This window comes from Homo sapiens, chromosome 9 (assembly GCF_000001405.40).
Source record: "Homo sapiens chromosome 9, GRCh38.p14 Primary Assembly".
In the NCBI taxonomy this organism is placed as follows: Eukaryota; Metazoa; Chordata; class Mammalia; order Primates; family Hominidae; genus Homo; species Homo sapiens.
This window is the reverse complement of record NC_000009.12, coordinates 122850619-122872212: the sequence shown is the minus strand read 5'-3', so window position 1 is coordinate 122872212 and position 21594 is coordinate 122850619. Positions and strand designations below refer to the sequence as shown.

The window sequence follows — 21594 nt, the reverse complement described above, 5'->3', positions numbered from 1 at the left end:
CAAGGTATGGAGCCTGCATAACTTAGTGGTCTCTTGCTGAAATGGGAAATGCATCAGGGCAGAAAATCAGTGGTTCTCTTGGCCATAATGATGTTTGAAGCTTATTCTATATTAATGCAACAAATAATAATTGGGGGCCGGGTGAGGTGGCTCACGCCTGTAATTCCAATACTTTGAAAGGCTGAGGCAAGAAGATCACTTGAGCTCAGGAGTTTGTGACCAGCCTGGGCAACATAGCAAGACCTTGTCTCTACTACAAAAAAAAAAAATTGGCTGGGCATGGTGACTCACTCCTGCCTGGGTGATGGAGACTCTGCCTTTAAAATAATAATAATAATTGGGCACTTGGGATGTTATGAGACAGTGTATTGTGTGCTAAAGATAGAGAGATGCAAGAAAGGCAAAAGTCTTGTCCTCCGGGGGCTTACATTGTAGTAAGAAGACAGACATGAAATAAATAAATATAGCATAATATCTTGTAATGACAGGCAGTATGAAAAAAAAACACAAAGGAGAAAAAGAGTGATTGAGAAAGGGGAGATCTCTTAGATAGAATAGTGTAGGAAAGACTCTTAGAAGATACAACATTTGGCCAGGCGCAGTGGCTCACGCCTGTAATCCCAGCACTTTGGGAGGCCGAGGCAGGCGGATCACAAGGTCAGGAGATCGGGACTATCCTGGCTAACACGATGAAACCCCCCCCCCCACTAACACGGTGAAACCCCGTCTCTACTAAAAACAGAAAAAATTAGCCGGGCCTGGTGGTGGGCAACTGTAGTACCAGCTCCTCGGGAGGCTGAGGCTGGAGAATGGCGTGAACCTGGGAGGTGGAGCTTGCAGTGAGCTGAGATTGCGCCACTGCACTCCAGCCTGGGCAACAGAGCGAGACTCCGTCTCAAAAAAAAAAAAGAAGATACAACATTTGAGCAGGTAGTCAAAGAAGGTGCCCACGAGAAAAAAAGATAATTACCTCAGTGAAGTCTTAGAGGAAGGCAAATGGGCTTGAGACCTAGGCCACAGGTGGTGAGACTGGCTTTAGTCAGGAACAGGAACTCATTGTCCCTTATCTTTAAGAGGAATGTGGCTACAGGTGCAGGAAGGTTACTGGAATTGGTAGCGGAAAGATAAATTATTCTCCTCTGCTTTCATCTATTTTCGTGGTTAAGTGGGAAACAATATCATCTAGCTGTAGGAGGGGTGGTTGAAAGTGGAAGGGAAAAGGCTATTGGAGATGGGAAAATGAACTTAGTAAAGAAGCGTATTAATGAATTATTTATAATTTTGAAGGGATTATAGACAGCGTGATTGCACAATTTTTCTCCAACATTTAGCTGCTTGGTAGCAGGCACAAAATAAGTAAAGAATTGGATTGAGCTTTTACCAAATGAGATACAGAGGGAGTGGATCAAGGGAGTTAAAAATTATTTACAAGGGAGGGATTAATGGTAGATAGTGGATTCTAAGATGGGTAAGAAGGGATTTAAAAAGAATAGGGAGAGTTACGCATGGTGGTGCACACCTGTAGTCCCAGCTACTCTGGAGGCAGAGCTGGGAGGATCACTTGCATTTAGGATTTAAGGCAGTCTAGGCAACATAGTGAGATCCTGTCCCTGAAAAGGCAGCCTTTAGCTGCCCCAATACTAAGAATTCAGTGTATATCCCTACTTGTCACTTGCTTTACCTCACTTGGTTAAGATTTTATTTCTCCTGACTCTTTTTTGAGAGGTTCATAGTTAAAACTTTATTTTTTGCTTTCTAGAGCAACCTTGTGGATTATCTCAGTTTGTTGTTTTTTTTTTGTTTGTTTGTTTGTTTGTTTGTTTGTTTGTTTGTTTTTGGAGACAGAGTCTTGCTCTGTCGGCCAGGCTGGAGTACAGTGGCACAATCTCGGCTCACTGCAACCTCTGTCTCCCAGGCTCAAGCAATTCTCCTGCTTCAGCCTCCCAAGTAGCTGGGATTACAGGCATGTCCCACCACTTCTGGCTAATTTTTGTATTTTTAATAGAGACGGGGTTTCACCATGTTGGCCAGGCTGGTCTTGAACTCCTGACCTCAGGTAATCCACTCGCCTCAGCCTCCCAAGGTGCTGGGATTACAGGTGTGAGCCACCATGCCCGGCCAAGTTTTATTTTTTGAGGATGGAAAGCAAGGAGACACGATATTCTGTATAGGAACTCTGAGGAAAAGAATAATGAGAGTAGGTTTCAGAGAGAATGTGGAGGAAGGCATAGGGATCTTTGGGCCCCTCCAGACAACCAGATTGTCTTCCTGAAATATAGGTCTGCTCATGCCCTTCTTGAAAGAAGTAATTATTGGTTTTCCTCTTATCTATAAGATGATGTTGGCCAGGCACAGTGGCTTATGCCTATAATCCCAGCACTTTGGGAGGCCAAGGCAGGCGGATCACTTGAGGTCAGGAGTTTGAGAACAGCTTGGCCAACATGATGAAACCCCATCTCTACTAAAAATACAAAAATTAGCCAGGTGTGTTGGCAGGCGCGCGCCTATAATGTGCACCTGTACTCCAGAGGCTGAGGCAGGAGAATTGCTTGAACCCGGGAAGCAGAGGTTGCAGTGAGCTGAGATCACACTATTGCACTCCAGCCTGGGTGACGAGCAAAACTCCGCCTCAAAAAAAAAAAAAAAAAAAAATCGTGTAAACTGGCCATCACCTGTTTTTTTAATATTCTGTTACTTCACTTTTAGCCAGTCTAATCTAGGAGCACTTGTCTTTTATTGAGCATCACCTTCCTCTGCCAATGTGTACATGTTAAAGAGAAGGAGAAGAGAAGGACTGAATAATGAAGTTGTTTATAGATACCAGAGGACTAAAAGGGAAACTATTGTGAAGGCATTGCTTACTACTAACACTTTATATTTAATTACCATATGTTTATATATAACATTAATAACATTACTTTAGGCATATATAATTATGACACCAAATATGTATAGTCTTCTTTCTGTTCGTGAACTTAATTTTTCACCGCTTTAAAAATGTTGTAGGGGCCAGGCATGGTGGCTCACACCCGTAATCCCAGCACTTTGGGAGGCCGAAGTGGGCAGATCACCTGAGGTCAGGATTTTGAGACCAGCCTGGCCAACATGGCAAAACCCCATCTCTACTAAAAATACAAAAGTTAACCAGGCGTGGTGGCAGGCACGTGCCTGTAATCCCAGCTACTTGGGAGGCTGAGGCAGAAGAATCACTTGAACCCAGGAGGCGGAGGTTGCAGTGAGCCGAGATCGCGCCATTGCACTGTAACCTGGGCGACAAGAGTGGAACTTAACCCCCCCACAAAAAAAAAAAAAAAAAACACATACACACACACACACACACACACACACACACACACACACACACACACACACATATAGGAGGGAATATTGTTAAGGATTATATTATAATGAAATTTTGGTGTATACATAGAAACACATTTTCTTTTTATTTATTTATTTATTTATTTATTTTTTATTGATCATTCTTGGGTGTTTCTCACAGAGGGGGATTTGGCAGGGTCATAGGACAATAGTGGAGGGAAGGTCAGCAGATAAACAAGTGAACAGAGGTCTCTGGTTTTCCTAGGCAGAGGACCCTGCGGCCTTCCGCAGCGTTTGTGTCCCTGGGTACTTGAGATTAGGGAGTGGTGATGACTCTTAACGAGCATGCTGCCTTCAAGCATCTGTTTAACAAAGCACATCTTGCACCGCCCTTAATCCATTTAACCCTGAGTGGACACAGCACATGTTTCAGAGAGCACAGGGTTGGGGGTAAGGTCACAGATCAACAGGATCCCAAGGCAGAAGAATTTTTCTTAGTACAGAACAAAATGAAAAGTCTCCCATGTCTACTTCTTTCCACACAGACACGGCAACCATCCGATTTCTCAATCTTTTCCCCACCTTTGCCCCCTTTCTATTCCACAAAACCGCAATTGTCATCATGGCCCGTTCTCAATGAGCTGTTGGGTACACCTCCCAGACGGGGTGGTGGCCGGGCAGAGGGGCTCCTCACTTCCCAGTAGGGGCGGCCGGGCAGAGGCGCCCCTCACATCCCCGACAGGGCGGCTGGCCGGGCGGGGGGCTGACACCCCCACCTCCCTCCTGGACGGGGTGGCTGGCCGGGCGGGGTGCTGACCCCCCAACCTCCCTCCCGGACGGAGCGGCTGGCTGGGCAGAGGGGCTTCTCACTTCCCAGTAGGGGTGGCTGGGCAGAGGCGCCCCTCACCTCCCGGACGGGGCGGCTGGCCGGGCGGGGGGCTGACCCCCCCACCTCCCTCCCGGACGGGGCGGCTGGCTGGGCGGGGGGCTGACCCCCCCACCTCCCTCCCGGACGGGGTGGCTGCCGGGCGGAGACGCTCCTCACTTCTCAGATGGGCCGGCTGCCGGGCGGAGGGGCTCCTCACTTCTCAGACGGGGCGGTTGCCGGGCGGAGGGTCTCCTCCCTTCTCAGACGGGGCGGCTGGGCAGAGACGCTCCTCACCTCCCAGACGGGGTCGCGGCCAGGCAGAGGCGCTCCTCACATCCCAGACGGGGCGGTGGGGCAAAGGCGCTCCCCACATCTCAGACAATGGGTGGCCGGGCAGAGACGCTCCTCACTTCCTAGATGGGATGGCGGCCGGGCAGACGCTTCTCACTTTCCAGACTGGGCAGCCAGGCAGAGGGGCTCCTCACGTCCCAGACGATAGGCGGCCGGGCAGAGGCGCCCCTCACATCCCCGACAGGGCGGCTGGCCGGGCGGGGGGCTGACCCCCCCACCTCCCTCCTGGACGGGGTGGCTGGCCGGGCGGGGTGCTGACCCCCCAACCTCCCTCCCGGACGGAGCGGCTGGCTGGGCAGAGGGTCTCCTCACTTCCCAGTAGGGGTGGCTGGGCAGAGGCGCCCCTCACCTCCCGGACGGGGCGGCTGGCCGGGCGGGGGGCTGACCCCCCCACCTCCCTCCCGGACGGGGCGGCTGGCCGGGCGGGGGGCTGATCCCCCCACCTCCCTCCCGGACGGGGTGGCTGCCGGGCGGAGACGCTCCTCACTTCTCAGATGGGCCGGCTGCCGGGCGGAGGGGCTCCTCACTTCTCAGACGGGGCGGTTGCCGGGCGGAGGGTCTCCTCCCTTCTCAGACGGGGCGGCTGGGCAGAGACGCTCCTCACCTCCCAGACGGGGTCGCGGCCAGGCAGAGGCGCTCCTCACATCCCAGACGGGGCGGTGGGGCAAAGGCGCTCCCCACATCTCAGACAATGGGTGGCCGGGCAGAGACGCTCCTCACTTCCTAGATGGGATGGCGGCCGGGCAGACGCTTCTCACTTTCCAGACTGGGCAGCCAGGCAGAGGGGCTCCTCACGTCCCAGACGATAGGCGGCCAGGCAGAGACGCTCCTCACTTCCCAGACGGGGTGGCGGCCGGGCATAGGCTGCAATCTCAGCACTTTGGGAGGCCAAGGCAGGTGGCTGGGAGGTGGAGGTTGTAGCGAGCTGAGATCACACCACTGCACTCCAGCCTGGGCACCACTGAGCACTGAGTGAACCAGACATCGTCTGCAATCCCGGCACCTCCGGAGGCCGAGGCTGGCGGATCACTCGCGGCTAGGAGCTGGAGACCAGCCCAGCCAACACAGTGAAACCCCGTCTTCACCAAAAAAATAAGAAAACCAGTCAGGCGTGGCGGCGCGCGCCTGCAATCGCAGGCACTCCGCAGGCTGAGGCAGGAGAATCAGGCAGGGAGGTTGCAGTGAGCCGAGATGGCAGCAGTACAGTCCAGCTTCGGCTCGGCATCAGAGGGAGACCGTGGAAAGAGAGGGAGAGGGAGACCGTGGGGAGAGGGAGACCGTGGGGAGAGGGAGGGGGGAGGGGGAGGGGGAGAGGGAGACATTTTCTTAAATGGAATCCAAAATCAAATTGCCAGTCCTTTTGTGTATTAGAGTATTATATCCAATGATCACCATAAATAAAACTCAAAACTTAGTATCAGAAAAATCTTTCATACAAATGTTTTTAACTTTAGGTATAAACTATTCTGAGAACTATAATACAGAATTTCTATTTTTGTGTAATGTTTGTTTAAGAATGAGTTTTTTAAATTATTTTTTTAAATTATATAATCCTTTTACAGTTTGGTAACAACAGAAAATGGCTTCAGCTCTTGCATACCTTTTCTCTTTACTCTGTGTTCTCAACCAAATTTGTTGCCAGTTCCTGTCATTTTTACATAACATCCCTTATATTCTAGTTATACAAAATTTTCAAATGGTCTCTTTCCACTCCCTCAAAAGGTTTTTTTGAATACATTCTTGGACAAAGTGGCATGAGGGGAAAAAAAAATACATATAAACTCGGCTTGCTATATTAATTACATGTATATTATATGTGAATGGCATATATATTTTCATGTGGCATCTGTTGCAGTAGAATTTGATATAGACTGTATTTGATTATTTAGCTGAAGAAACTTTTTGTCAAAACTGTTTCCTCCTTTTTCAATCTATTCCCATTGCCCATTGCCATTTTTTGTCTTGAGTAAGATTTAGTGAAATATTCACCAATCTGTTGATTGTTTTTGAAACAGGTATCGATTAAGGAACAAAAAGATCAATGCCACTGTAAGAACGTTTCCTCTTCTAAATAAAGTTGGTGTAAACAACACTGTCACAACCACAGCCGGAAATGTCATTTCTGTCATAGGAAGTACTGAAACAACAGGGAAAATTGTTCCAAGTACAAACGGAATTTCAAATGCAGAAAACAGTGTTTCCCAGCTAATCTCACGTAGTACTGACAGTACCTTAAGAGCTCTGGAGACCGTGAAGAAAGTGGGAAAGGTTGGCGCTAATGGTCAGAATGCTGCTGGGCCCTCTGCAGATTCTGTAACTGAAAAGTAGGTATTAGGTAAAAATGATTACTGGAAATTCTTTTTCCTTTTTAGAAATGCCTGAGTGTTTTTATTTCTGCTGATGAATACCGGTTAATCAGAATTTTTATGCAGAATATTTTGTGATGTAGAAGAAACACTAAATACTAAAAAATTTGAGTTCTAGTTTGGTTCTGCAACTGAATAGCCCTGTGAACTTGGAAAGTGGGAAAGTGACTTTAACTCTGAGTTTTGTTTTCCTCAACTCTCCCAAAGAGACTGGACCAGAATTGTTTTTTTTTCACACCTTATTTTCTTGAACTGTAGTGTTGATTCCATAGAGGTGCCAGAAAAGAACTAAATAGAAACCTAAGCAGGTAAAATGCTGAGCCTCTAGCTCTGTTTCAGTCAGAGCGCTTTCACTTTATACTCTGTAATGAGGTGTAGCACTTGGCCGGGTGCAGTGGTTCACACCTGTAATCCCAGCACTTTTGGAGGCTGAGGCATGCAGATCATGAGGTCTGGAGATCGAGACCATCCTGGCTGACATGGTGAAACCCCATCTCTACTAAAAATACAAAAAAAAAATTAGCCGGGCATGGTGGCGGGCATATGTAGTCCCAGCTACTCAGGAGGCTGAGGTAGGAGAATGGCATGAACCCAGGAGGCGGAGCTTGCAGTGAACCCAGATCGTGCTACTGCAATCCAGCCTGGGCAACAGAGTGAGACACTGTCTCAAAAAAAAAAAAAGGAGGGGACTCTTTGGAGCCACACTCTCTGGGCTTTCAAGTTCTGGCTCATGGTTTCCCAGCTGTTTGATCTTAGGCCAGTTACTTAATCTGTCTACCTTAGTTTACTCCTTCATAAAACTAGAATTATAATGGTGTCAACTTCATATGTTGGTTGCGAGGATTAAGTGAATTAATACTCCAGTATGCCTTGAACAATGCCTACCAGATAGTAAGCACTCAGTAAATATTTGCTTTATTATTATTATCACCATTAATTGTTACTGAGTGTCAGCATAAGATTTCCTTTGTCAGAGGGTTTTGGTGCCTTTAGAAAAAGGTTTTTAAATTTTCAGATTATCTGAAAAGTTGTTTCCAACTCTAAAATCTTGAGTAAGATTTAGATTGATGAATATTTTAATATTCATCAATATGTTGATGTTCAGATTTTGTTGCCTATAAATAGTCTATCAGTATCTGTTATATGCCTGCTAGGAAAAAAGCATTGTGCTAGGCACATAGCAATCAATGATGGATAGATAAGCAGTAACATTTGCTACTTCTGCAGTCAGCACATGATGGGGGAGATTGTTTATTAAAGGACTTTTACAGGCTGGGCACGGTGGCTCAGGCCTGTAATCCCAACACTTTGGGAGGCCGAGGTGGGCAGATCACCTGAGGTTGGGCGTTCAAGACCAGCCTGACCAACATGGAGAAACCCCGTCTCTACTAAAAATACAAAATTAGCCAGGCATGGTGGCGCATGCCTGTAATCCCAGCTACCTGGGAAGGCTGAGGCAGGAGAATCGCTTGAACCTGGGAGGTGGAGGTTGCAGTGAGCCAAGATCGCACCGTTGTACGCCAGCCTGGGCAACAAGAGTGAGACTCCATCTCAAAAAAAAAAAGGACTTTTACAATCTTCCCTGGGCAAGATTTTAGAAAAGATATATTTGAGAACATGGTCTAGTTAACAAATGTTATTTATGCACTCAATCTTGTAGCTGTTTTTGGCACATGAATACAAGATACTTTGCTTTTAAGGGATTTATGATATAGTTGTGGAGACAGCATTTACACATATGAAACAGTACTGAAGTTGGATTAAAGGACAGGAAAATTTTATATTGCTGGGAGAAATATGGGAAATTACAGAAAAAAAACAACATAACATGGATTAAATCTATCTGTAATTATATGGAATATTGAGGAGACCAGTCTTTTAGATCTGAAGGCTTATATTAGGGACTGGTATAAAATAAGGTTAGATAGGTTGGTGCCAGATTATGGAGACCTTATGTATACATGTTTAGGAAATAAGCTTTTGAAGATTTTTGGCAAGAAAATTTTGTAAAACTGTTTTATATCCATACAATGGAAAATTCAGCCATAAAAAAGGAATGAAGTACTATTATGTGCTACAATATGGATGAACCTTTAAACATTGTGCTAAATGAAAGAAGCCAGATACAAAAGGTCACATTTATGTTAAATGTCCAGAATAGGCAAATTCATAGAGACAGGAAGTAGATTAATGGTTTCTAGGGGTTTAGGGCTGGGACAGGAATGGGGAATGAATGCTAATGGGTACAGGTTTCTCTTGGGGATGATGAAAATGTTTCAGAATTAGTGGTGATAATTGGACAGCCTTGTGAATATACTAAAAATTACTGAATTGTACACCCTAAAATAATGAACTGTATCTCAATTTTTTAACAAAATAGACTAGGGTAAAAACTTTTTTTTTTTTTTTTTTTTTGAGATGGAGTCTCTCTGTCACCCAGGTGGAGTGCAATGGTGCGATTTCGGCTCACTGCAACCTCCACCTGCCAGGTTCAAGCAATTCTCCTGCCTCAGCCTCCTAAGTAGCTGGGATTACAGGCACCTGCCACCATGCCCGGCTAATTTTTGTATTTTTAGTAGAGACGGGGTTTCGCCATGTTGGCCAGACTGGTCTAGAACTCCTGACCGCAAGTGATCTGCCCGCCTTGGCCTCCCAAAAGGCTGGGATTACAGGTGTGAGCCACTGTGCCCAGCTGGTAAAGACTTTTAAAAAATAAATCTAAATTTTTATTGGAACACAGTTGTTCCAGTTGTTATTGGAACACAGGAAAAAGAATAATTCTATGAGAGGTATTGTGGATGGCTTCTTAGAGGTGAAGTGATGATACCTGAGCTATTTCCAAAAGTATGGATAGCAAGGAAGGAAGGGCCTTGTGGATGGAGAAGGCAGCACAGGCAAAATGAATAAGGTGTGAGAGAAGCTGCCATGGAGGAGAGCCTAGAATCCTGAAAGTCATCTAGGATAGTGATCTCATGCTCACTAGGATGTGACTGAAGATTAGCTTTTTCTATAAGTTCCAATTTTTGAGATAGCTTGCATGATTTCATGAGGTGATAAATGTTGACCTTATCATGGATCTTGTTGCCTTGAAGATTAGCTTTTTCTATAAGTTCCAATTTTTGAGATAGCTTGCATGATTTCATGAGGCAATAAATGTTGACCTTATCATGGATCTTGTTGCCTTTTTGTTGATAAGTCTATGAGTTTACCATTTCAAAGTACTAATCCAAATTTTAGGTATATAACATTTTGACATGGAGGGACCAGATAATTTATGTAAAGCACAGTGCCTGGAATAGACTCAAATAACCACTTGATAAATATTAGTTATTGTTTTAAGGAAATCCTAATCATTTTCCTTGTTGTCTCTATTTTACTTTATGTAAAGAATAAGCACAGTCCTAAAATATCTTTATACTCTAAACCCTTACGTTTGTACCTACTTTTATTACCCACAGTTCCTTAGTTATTTTTTACATTTTAATATACAGTTACACATAGAAGTAAACATCTGCTAGACTAATCTGTGATAAACTTAAAGGCAGCCCATATACCTTTTTCTTTATATCCTACCTTTAAAATGATTGTTCTAATTTGAGGAAAAAACCCTCTAATCTGGTTGAGATGCAATGTATTGAGTTCCTGCATAATTAACAAGATCATTTTCTTCACTCATCACATATCTAAAGCTTTGTCAAAATTTGACTAAAACAAGCAAATACAATCAGCAAAATAAATATAGCTACAAATCCAGCTGACTAAGCTTTGGCCATATATATATGGTTTTTTTTCTTTTCTTTTTTTTTTTTTTTTTTTGAGACGGAGTTTCGCTCTTGTTGCCTGGGCTGGAGTGCAATGGCGTGATCTCGGCTCACCACAACCTCCGCCTCCTGGGTTCAAGCGATTCTCCTGCCTCAGCCTCCCAAGTAGCTGGGATTACAGGCATGGACCACCACACCCGGCTAATTTTGTATTTTTAGTAGAGACGGGGTATCTCCATGTTGGTCAGGCTGGTCGCGAACTCCCAACCTCAGTTGATCTGCCTGCCTCGGCCTCCCAAAGTGCTAGGATTACAGGTGTGAGCCACCGTGCCCGGCCGAAATTTGACTTCTTAAAAGGAGTTAAGAAAGCCATAAGATCCTTTCCAGCTGATTACTTAGTGACTCAACCAAGAAAATTCTTTTGTGTTAAAAATAATAATAATAAAAGGTTGGTGTGTTTTGCCTCAATTTAATGAGTTACCATTTCATTCACCCAGCAAGTATTTACTGAGTACCTACTGCATGCCAGGAACTGTTTTATTTGTCTGACAAATATTTACCAAGTGCCTACTCTGTTCCAGGAGCTGTTTTAGGTGCTGGGGATATAGGAATTATCAAAATAAACAAAAGTGGCCTTTCCTCAAGGAGTTCATATTTCAGCTAATCTAACTCCTCATAGAAAACAACTCTTTTCTTACCATGTCTGTTTTCTTTGTCTCAAATAGTTCCACTAATGGACTATATTTTTTCGGTTGAGAACTTGTCGAACAGAATTTTCTTTTTTTTTTTTAACCTTCAGTAGGGAAAAATGTTTGTTTAAAGAATGAGTAATGGCCAGGCACGGTGGCTGATGCCTGTAATGCCAGCACTTTGTGAGGCTAAGGTGGGAGAATTGCCTGAGCCTAAGAATTTGAGACCCTCCTGAGCAACAAATCTAGACCCCGTCTCTACAAAAAAACTAAAAATTAGCCGAGTGTGGTGGCATGCACTTGTAGTCCCATCTGCTTGGGAGGCTGAGGTGGGAGGATTGCTTAAGCCCAGGAGGTCAAGGCTGCAGTGAGCTGTTATTGTGATTATGTCAGTGCACTCCAGCCCGGGTGACAGAGTGACACCCTGTCTCAAAAAAAAAAAAAAAAAAAAGAATGGGTAAATGGTGACTAATGAATCACGTTAATATCTGGGAATCGTTTTTATTCCCTGTGGCCCACACAGGAATATGACATCTGTTACGATGATCACGTGAATTAGCTGTGTAAGGTGGCAGTGAAATTCATTGCCTTATTTGTCAATGTGGCAATGTCTGAAGTGTTTTCTATTAGTGGTTTCAGAATATAATTTTATTAAAAATTTCTAGTAAGGAGGACAGTCATAGACAGTGATTTCTCCTTTGCCCTTTGTTAAATTTTCTCTCCAGTAAAATTGGTTCTCCACCCAAGACTCCTGTAAGTAATGTAGCAGCTACCTCAGCTGGGCCCTCTAATGTTGGAACAGAGCTGAATTCTGTGCCTCAAAAATCCAGCCCATTTCTAACTAGAGTACCAGTATATCCTCCGCATTCTGAAAACATTCAGTATTTTCAAGATCCAAGGACTCAGATACCCTTTGAAGTCCCACAGTACCCACAGACAGGTGAGTAATTTTAGACAATTCTAAGAAAAAAAGAAACATTGTTTCCTTTAGATAAATGAATGAATAGTTCTAGAATGTCTACATTTAAAAAAATTAATCCTTTTGACTATGTGACTCATAAGTTTTTTTCCTTCCCCAAGGATCTGTGCTTCTAAATACAGCTTTAAGGTTGTCATTCCTACAAATCAAATATAATAGGGTCAGGAATGAACTTTAGGGGTTTTCTGTAAGTCCCCTGAAATGATGTAAAAAAATGTTTTATTTATGTATGCTTATGTTCAATTTTGGAAAGAGAGTGAACAACTTACATAGATTTTGAAAGAGGTCTTTAACGTCTGCTCCCAAAAAAGTTAATAAAAATCAATGATATAACTGACTAATCCAAAACCAGTGGCAATAGATGCCCTAGAAGGATATTTACCATCCGTCTGTTAATAGCTCTGTTGTGTGTTTTAAGGAGCACTTTAGCAAAGTGTTGAATGTTAATGATTTTCATATAGTGGTGTCTTGAAAATATGTAGTTTGTGGTCAGGTGTGGTAGCTCACACTTGTAATCCCAGCACTTTGGGAGGCCCAGGAGAATCACTTGAGCCCAGGAGTTTGCGACCAGCCTGGGCATCATAGCAAGACCCTGTCTCTACCAAAAAAAAAAAAAAAAAAAAAAGCCAGGGTATAAAGCTTTATAAAGCAGGGTAAGGTAAGGTTCAAAGCTTATTATATTTTCCTACATTAAGGGCTGCCTTAGATTTAAGCCATTATAAAATGTTGGATTGTACTAAGATTACATTAAATATTCCTCTTTCCAATTTTCAAGGATACTATCCACCACCTCCAACGGTACCAGCTGGTGTGGCTCCCTGTGTTCCTCGCTTTGTGAGGTCCAATAACGTTCCAGAGTCCTCCCTCCCACCTGCTTCCATGCCATATGCCGATCATTACAGTACATTTTCCCCTCGAGATCGAATGAATTCTTCTCCTTACCAGCCTCCTCCTCCGCAGCCGTATGGACCAGTTCCTCCAGTACCTTCTGGAATGTATGCTCCTGTGTACGACAGCAGGCGCATCTGGCGCCCACCTATGTACCAACGAGATGACATTATTAGAAGCAATTCTTTACCTCCAATGGATGTGATGCACTCATCTGTCTATCAGACATCTTTGCGGGAAAGATATAACTCATTAGATGGATATTATTCGGTGGCTTGTCAGCCACCAAGTGAGCCAAGGACAACTGTGCCTTTACCAAGGGTAAGTGAAGATGCTACTATAATGTAGTCATTAACAGCCCAGTGTCTGGAGTCAAACCACCCAGGTATATATCCTGGCTCCTCCACTTACTAATTGTGTGACTTAAGGAAGTTACTTGACCTCCCTATGCCTCAGTTCTTTCATTCCTTTGATGGAAATAATAGTAGTACCTACCTCATAAGGCTGTTGTGAGAATTAAATCAGAAAATCAAACCTCTTAGAACTGGGCCTCATACATGTTAATGCTCAATAAATGTTATATTTGGATAGGAAATTGTTGGGAAAGTAGAAAGAAATCTTAAAAATACAAGGTTAGGACCTTTTTTCAGTATCACCACATACATACAAATGACTTCCCTAAGCAAGAAAAGTGAGTGCTCAGATTCTGCGTTTAACATCAGTTGAATAAATATTAACCTTTTTATTTTAAGTGTATGGAGAATAGACTAGGGTGACTTTCCCTGCTGTATTTTTTTATCCCAACAATATCATAAACTGTTTACATCATTTTCACACAGTTAAATTTATTCACCACTCCCTAGATGATTAAGATTGTTTCTTTTATCCCCCATTAGGAACCTTGTGGTCATTTGAAGACCAGTTGCGAGGAGCAGATAAGAAGAAAGCCAGATCAGTGGGCACAGTACCACACTCAGAAAGCACCTCTTGTCTCTTCAACTCTTCCTGTGGCAACACAGTCACCAACACCACCTTCTCCTCTGTTCAGTGTAGACTTTCGTGCGGATGTAAGAAAGGTTTTAATTACTTAATGTTGCAGGGATAGGTCAAACAGCTGACTTCAAATTACTCATTCAAACCAGGAATAGCTATGTTGGATATTTGCAGTGGTTTGGTGTGCAATTGAGTTTAGTTCAATAAACACTGAATATAAATGCACTACGGCTAGGTGTTATGAGACTCTGAAGACCGTTAAGGCATAGTCCTTTACTAAGAATTCAAAATCTTTCCTATAGTATAATTATTTTATGGTTGTTTTATTAATAGTGTGATTTATATCTATCATTTATTGAGCACCTACTCATGCCAGCACTGTATTAGTACATTTGCATAAAGCTATTTTATTTAATTCTCACAAAAACCTTAGGGGGCAGGTATTTTCCATATTTTACAGGGTAGGAATCTTACAGAAGTTAAGTAATTTGCCCAAGATCTTTCAGCTGTAAATAGCTGGGATATGAATCCTGGGCTGTCTGAGGTATTTCTTCCCTACTTAACAAGAAGTGCAGAAATACCTACAGTATTATTTATGCTCTTTACATCACTGCTAATTATTGTTCTTGGCATTACCAAACAAGTTTGTGTACCAGGATGATTTTAATTTAATCTGGTGTTTTCAGTACTGTTATATTTGGAGAAAACCATTAATTTCTTTTTTAAGTTTCTTCTGGTTTATTCCCCATCCCCAGAAGTTCTGATATTAAAATTTTTAAAATCTTTTCATTATAAAAAATTTCAAACATATACAAGTATAGAGAGAATAATATGATAAACTCCATGTACCCAACACCCAGGTTCCACGGTTATCAACTCAGTCAGTACTGTCTTATTTATACCCCCTCTTCCCCCTGGATTGTTTTGAAGTAATCCTAGGCATTATATTTTTTAACCCATAAATATTTCAATAAAGCATTGAATTTTTAAACTAGATCCAAATAGGTCTTGTCAAACTTAGACTTCTTCAAAGCAGGTAAATATCTTGACAACAGAGTGACAGAGCTGCCACTTGCTTGCTAGATGCCACTTGCTTGCTAGATGCCACTTGTATTTTCTTTTTTGATATACAATTATGCTTCAGGAAATGAGTATTTCCCTGAGACTCCGATCTGCTGAGTTCGACTTGAGAAAAGTTTTTTAACTTTTTTGCCCTTGAGTTTTTTTATCTGAATAATTAGTAAACTAGATTTAATGATTCTTATAACTTTAGTATTCTGGTCCTATAAGTATTCCTTATTCACAGTCCCTTTAAAATTTATTCATTTCCCCTTTATCTCCAGAGCCTCCTTTGAATTCCTTTTGTTCTTTGATACTGCATAATTTATCAGTTATATTCCCTTATTTGCACATGTTCTTTTTCTCAAGAAAATTATAAACTCAGCTTGGTGTAGTGGCTCATGCCTATAATCCCAGCACTTTGGAAGATCGAAGTGGGTGGATTGCTTGAGCCCAGGAGTTTGATACCAGCCTAGGCAATATGGCAAAACTTCATCTCTACTAAAAATACAAAAAGATTGTCTGGGCATAGTGGCGTGTGCCTATAGTCCCAGCTACTTGGGAAGCAGAGCTGGGAAAATCACCTGAGCCTGGGAAGTCGAGGCTGCTAGTGAGCTGTGATCACCCCACTGCATGTTAGCCTGGGCGGTGGGAGTGAGACCCTGTCTCAAAAGAAAAAAGAAAATTATAAACTCCTTTAGGATATGGACTGTGATCTCTGTGTGTATCTATGTATTTGTTTTCTCTTACTTTTTTTTTTCTTGGTGCACCCCATACCATGTTAGTACCATACTATAAATATTTGTTAATTGGTTTTGATAGTATTAGTCAAATGTTCCATATGAGCACTTAAAGGACAAAGTGAAAAGGGAAAGCATGCCATTTTCTATTGTAAAAATACCATTTCTTGCTTATTACAGTTTTTTATATTAGTTATTGAAAAAGTATAATTGTTTGCTATGAAGTCCTCTGAATTCTATAATAGTTACTTTATATTAGTTACAAGCTTGTAAATTTAAGCTTCTTACTAATTGGCTTTATTTATTTTTTTTTAACCAGTTCTCAGAGAGTGTGAGTGGTACAAAATTTGAAGAAGATCATCTTTCCCATTATTCTCCCTGGTCTTGTGGCACCATAGGCTCCTGTATAAATGCCATTGATTCAGAGCCCAAAGATGTCATTGCTAATTCAAATGCTGTGTTAATGGTATGATTTTGCTGGGGTTGCAGGGGTTGGAGGTGAGAGATGATGCATGTTCACTCATGTTGTAGAATGAATGTTTTCTATTCATTCATTCATATTGTTGCCTTATAACTCAGTAGCAGCAGGGTTATATTTAGGTAAGTCTGAAATAAATTATATTTAATATTTAAGTTATTTGAACATTGGTGGTTTACTGGTAGTTTGTTGGATTATCGTTGAGTCTAGAGCTAGTTTTAAATTAACCAAAAAACCTAATTACATGTCTTTTGATAGCATATATTTACTAGCTGAAGTAATTGCCAACAGTCCTTTTATTGATTTTCTTTGGTTTACATAGGACCTGGACAGTGGTGATGTTAAGAGAAGAGTACATTTATTTGAAACCCAGAGAAGGACAAAAGAAGAAGATCCAATAATTCCCTTTAGTGATGGACCCATCATCTCAAAATGGGGTGCGATTTCCAGATCTTCCCGTACAGGTTACCATACCACAGATCCTGTCCAGGCCACTGCTTCCCAAGGAAGTGCGACTAAGCCCATCAGTGTATCAGGTAATCCATTTAGATAATACCTAGCCTGATATGTTCTAAGCACTATGCCTTTTTTTTTTTTTTTTTTAATTGAGACAGAGTCTCACTCTGTTGCCCAGACTGGAATGCAGTGGTGTGATCTTGGCTCACTGCAACCTCCATCCTGGGTTCAAGCGATTCTCCTGCCTCAGCCTCCCAAGTAGCTGGGATTATAGACATGCACCACCATGCCTGGCTAATTTTTGTATTTTTAGTAGAGAGTATTTTGTATTTTAGTTTCGCCATGTTGGCCAGGCTGGTCTGGAACTCCTGGCCTCATGTGATCCACCCGCCTCAGCCTCGCAAAGTGCTGGGATTACATATGTGAGCCACTGTGCCTGTCCTAAGCACTGTGCTTTTTAATCCCCAACTTGTGAAATGGAAAACATTTCCCTCCATTTAACAACCATGGGAAACTCAGAATTAGGTGTTTAACCAGCATCATATGGCTAGTGGGATAAAATACAGATCTATTTTGAGAAGTATACATTCACCTCAGTACACTGATTTTTCACTTTTTTGACCATTGTTTCATTCTACATGTCTGTAGATTATGTCCCTTATGTCAATGCTGTTGATTCAAGGTGGAGTTCATATGGCAACGAGGCCACATCATCAGCACACTATGTTGAAAGGTAACGTTCTTCTTAATTCTATATGATTCTCCATTCTCAGACTTGTATGTATCTTAAGGGTACACATTCTACCCCCAGTTCATGAAATGTGCTTTGCTTGTTGTCTGAGCTATATAACAAATTTCTGAAAAATATTTGCATTTAAATTTGGAACGATGAGTGAAGTTTTCAGGGTTGATCTGTCACATAAAACATATGGTTATTACTGCTTTTGTTGCTTCATTCACTTCACTTTTATTACAATAAACATATTTCTCTTTAAAGGGACAGATTCATTGTTACTGATTTATCTGGTCATAGAAAGCATTCCAGTACTGGGGACCTTTTGAGCCTTGAACTTCAGCAGGTAGGCTCTGTAACTCAGCTATAAATTTTTGAGAAATAGAATGACAGTTGAAAGCTATAGTTGGAAGCTAACTTTTCTTTTTTTCCCTCCTCATATAGGCCAAGAGCAACTCATTACTTCTTCAGAGAGAGGCCAATGCTTTGGCCATGCAACAGAAGTGGAATTCCCTGGATGAAGGCCGTCACCTTACCTTAAACCTTTTAAGCAAGGAAATTGAACTAAGAAATGGAGAGGTAAAGAAACTGAACCTTTCGGCTTCATGCTTAATGTATTTGTTTTCTGCTGCTGCATCTTGGTTATACCATTACTGAGTGCATTTTGGTGTGCCTATCTCTGATGGATGATTGATTGCTTTTAAAACTTATAACAGAAATAAAATTGTAATCCCAGATTTCTTAAATAATTCTTTAACTAGATCATCGGGATTTTTGTTTTTTTGAGATGGAATCTTGCTCTATCGCCTGGAGTGCAATGGCACGATCTTGGCTCACTGCAGCCTCTGGCTCTCAGGTTCAAGCGATTCTCCTGCCTCAGCTTCCCGAGTAGCTGGGATTACAGGCACCCACCACCATGCCCAGCTAATTTTTGTGTTTTTAGTAGAGACAGGGTTTCACCATGTTGGCTAAGCTGGTCTTGAACTCCTGACCTCAAGTGATCTGCTCGCCTCACCTTCCCAAAGTGCTAGGATTACAGGTGTGAGCCCCCGTGCCTGGCTGATCATTGGGATTTTTTACTTTAATTTAAAAGGGAAACCCCAGGTTCCACAGGTATAAAATCAGTATTTTTCTTTTTTTTTTTTTTTTTTTATTGATCATTCTTGGGTGTTTCTCACAGAGGGGGATTTGGCAGGGTCATAGGACAATAGTGGAGGGAAGGTCAGCAGATAAACAAGTGAACAAAGGTCTCTGGTTTTCCTAGGCAGAGGACCCTGCGGCCTTCCGCAGCGTTTGTGTCCCTGGGTACTTGAGATTAGGGAGTGGTGATGACTCTTAATGAGCATGCTGCCTTCAAGCATCTGTTTAACAAAGCACATCTTGCACCGCCCTTAAGCCATTTAACTCTGAGTGGACACAGCACATGTTTCAGAGAGCACAGGGTTGGAGGTAAGGTCACAGATCAACAGGATCCCAAGGCAGAAGAATTTTTCTTAGTACAGAACAAAATGAAAAGTCTCCCATGTCTACTTCTTTCTACACAGACACGGCTACCATCCGATTTCTCAATCTTTTCCCCACCTTTCCCCCCTTTCTATTCCACAAAACCGCCATTGTCATCATGGCCCGTTCTCAATGAGCTGTTGGGCACACCTCCCAGACGGGGTGGTGGCTGGGCAGAGGGGCTCCTCACTTCCCAGTAGGGGCGGCCGGGCAGAGGCGCCCCTCACCTCCCGGATGGGGCGGCTGGCCAGGCGGGGGGCTGACCCCCCCACCTCCCTCCCGGACGGGGCGGCTGGCCGGGCAGAGGGGCTCCTCACTTCCCAGTAGGGGCGGCAGGGCAGAGGCGCCCCTCACCTCCCGGACAGGGCGGCTGGCCGGGTTGGGAGCTGACCCCTCCACCTCCCTCCCGGTCAGGGCGGCTGGCCGGGCCGGGGGCTGACCCCCACACCTCCCTCCCGGACGGGGCGGCTGGCCGGGCGGGGGGCTGACCCCCCCACCTCCCTCCCGGACGGGGCGGCTGGCTAGGCAGAGGGGCTCCTCACTTCCCAGTAGGGGCGGCCGGGCAGAGGCGCCCCTCACCTCCCGGACGGGGCGGCTGGCCAGGCGGGGGGCTGACCCCCCCACCTCCCTCCCGGACGGGGCGGCTGCCGGGCGGAGACGCTCCTCACTTCCCAGACGGGGTGGCTGCCAGGCAGAGAGGCTCCTCACTTCTCAGACGGGGCGGCTGCCGGGCGGAGAGGCTCCTCACTTCTCATACGGGGCGGCTGCCGGGCGGAGGGTCTCCTCACTTCTCAGACGGGGCGGCCGGGCAGAGACGCTCCTCACCTCCCAGACGGGGTGGCGGCCGGGCAGAGGCATTCCTCACATCCCAGACAGGGCGGCGGGGCAGAGGCGCTCCCCACATCCCAGACGACGGGCGGCCGGGCAGAGACGCTCCTCACTTCCTAGATGTGATGGCGGCCGGGAAGAGGCGCTCCTCACTTCCCAGATGGGATGGCGGCCGGGCAGAGACGGTCCTCACTTTCCAGACTGGGCAGCCAGGCAGAGGGGCTCCTCACATCCCAGACGATGGGCGGCCAGGCAGAGACGCTCCTCACTTCCCAGACGGGGTGGCGGCCGGGCAGAGGCTGCAATCTCGGCTTTTTGGGAGGCCAAGGCAGGCGGCTGGGAGGTGGAGGTTGTAGCGAGCCGAGATCACGCCACTGCACTCCAGCCTGGGCGCCATTGAGCACTGAGTGAACCAGACTCCGTCTGCAATCCCGGCACCTCGGGAGGCCGAGGCTGGCAGATCACTCGTGGTTAGGAGCTGGAGACCAGCCCGGCCATCACAGCGAAACCCCGTCTCCACCAAAAAAATACGAAAACCAGTCAGGCGTGGCGGCGCGCGCCTGCAATTGCAGGCACTCTGCAGGCTGAGGCAGGAGAATCAGGCAGGGAGGTTGCAGTGAGCCGAGATGGCAGCAGTATAGTCCAGCTTCGGCTCGGCATGAGAGGGAGACCATGGAAAGAGAGGGAGAGGGAGACCATGGGGAGAGGGAGACCATGGGGAGAGGGAGAGGGAGAGGGAGAGCAAAATCAGTATTTTTCTTAGTTACAGAGTGATTATACAGAAGATGCAACAGATACTAAACCTGATAGGGATATCGAGTTAGAGCTTTCAGCACTTGATACTGATGAACCTGATGGACAAAGTGAACCAATTGAAGTAAGTGCCACAATTAGATAATTGAGAGGCTTTGTTTGATTGAAAATTTATAAAATACTTTCATACTGAAGGATTAACATTTTATTTTCTTAGGAGATCTTGGACATACAGCTTGGTATCAGTTCTCAAAATGATCAGTTGCTAAATGGAATGGCAGTGGAAAATGGGCATCCAGTACAGCAGCACCAAAAGGAGCCACCAAAGCAGAAGAAACAGAGTTTAGGTGAAGACCATGTGATTCTGTGAGTGTTAGACAGAAAATTCATAAACAGTGGGCATAGGACATAATAAAGAGAAAAAAATGCGAAATTAATTTTTGGCTTTATGCTGTGAGGGGAAGACCTTATATGGGCAATGATTTGGTCAATCTGGATTTTTAGGGAAGAAAAAGTAAAATTGAACTAACAAAGCAGTCCATTTTGGTAGCCTGAAACTTGCTTTTTGTTGAGATAAAGTTAATCTGTGTTCCAGCATCAGGTTATGCTTCTTTAATCTGGTTGCCAAATTTCTAGACTACAAAATGGAGAATGACAACCTAGATTAATGGTTTCTCTTTTTGAAAATCATGTTAAGATTTTCTTGGCTAGGCTGGGCGTAGTGGCTCATGGCTGTAATCCCAGCACTTTGGAAGGCTGAGGCGGGTGGATCACAAGGAGTTCAAGAGCAGCCTGGCCAACATAGTGAAACCCTGTCTCTACAAAAAT

General features: G+C 44.3%; 1 protein-coding gene across 5 annotated transcripts in view, besides 1 other annotated feature; it reads left to right on the top strand.

Moving 5' to 3' along the window:
* Positions 1-21594, top strand: part of RC3H2 (ring finger and CCCH-type domains 2) — a 60804-nt gene that overhangs the window by 33147 nt on the left and 6063 nt on the right. The window contains exons 10-20 of one of the 5 annotated variants that reach the window (NM_001354478.2): positions 6556-6864; positions 12082-12296; positions 13111-13544; positions 14120-14290; positions 16335-16481; positions 16816-17029; positions 17598-17682; positions 17947-18028; positions 18127-18261; positions 20777-20890; positions 20984-21113. In NM_001354478.2, the coding sequence (NP_001341407.1) occupies positions 6556-6864; positions 12082-12296; positions 13111-13544; positions 14120-14290; positions 16335-16481; positions 16816-17029; positions 17598-17682; positions 17947-18028; positions 18127-18261; positions 20777-20890; positions 20984-21113 (2036 nt within the window). Of the gene's footprint in view, positions 1-6555; positions 6865-12081; positions 12297-13110; positions 13545-14119; positions 14291-16334; positions 16482-16815; positions 17030-17597; positions 17683-17946; positions 18029-18126; positions 18420-20776; positions 20891-20983; positions 21133-21594 lie in introns of those variants that run through there. The other 4 variants (NM_001100588.3, NM_001354479.2, NM_001354482.2 and 1 more) reach the window with 4 other exon arrangements.
* Positions 20076-20851: an enhancer, noted in NCBI's record as "H3K27ac hESC enhancer chr9:125613641-125614416 (GRCh37/hg19 assembly coordinates)". NCBI's record gives its function as "activates a minimal SCP1, AML or CMV promoter by ChIP-STARR-seq in naive H9 embryonic stem cells {active_cell/tissue: H9 hESC(naive)}" and the evidence as "EXISTENCE:reporter gene assay evidence [ECO:0000049][PMID:30033119]".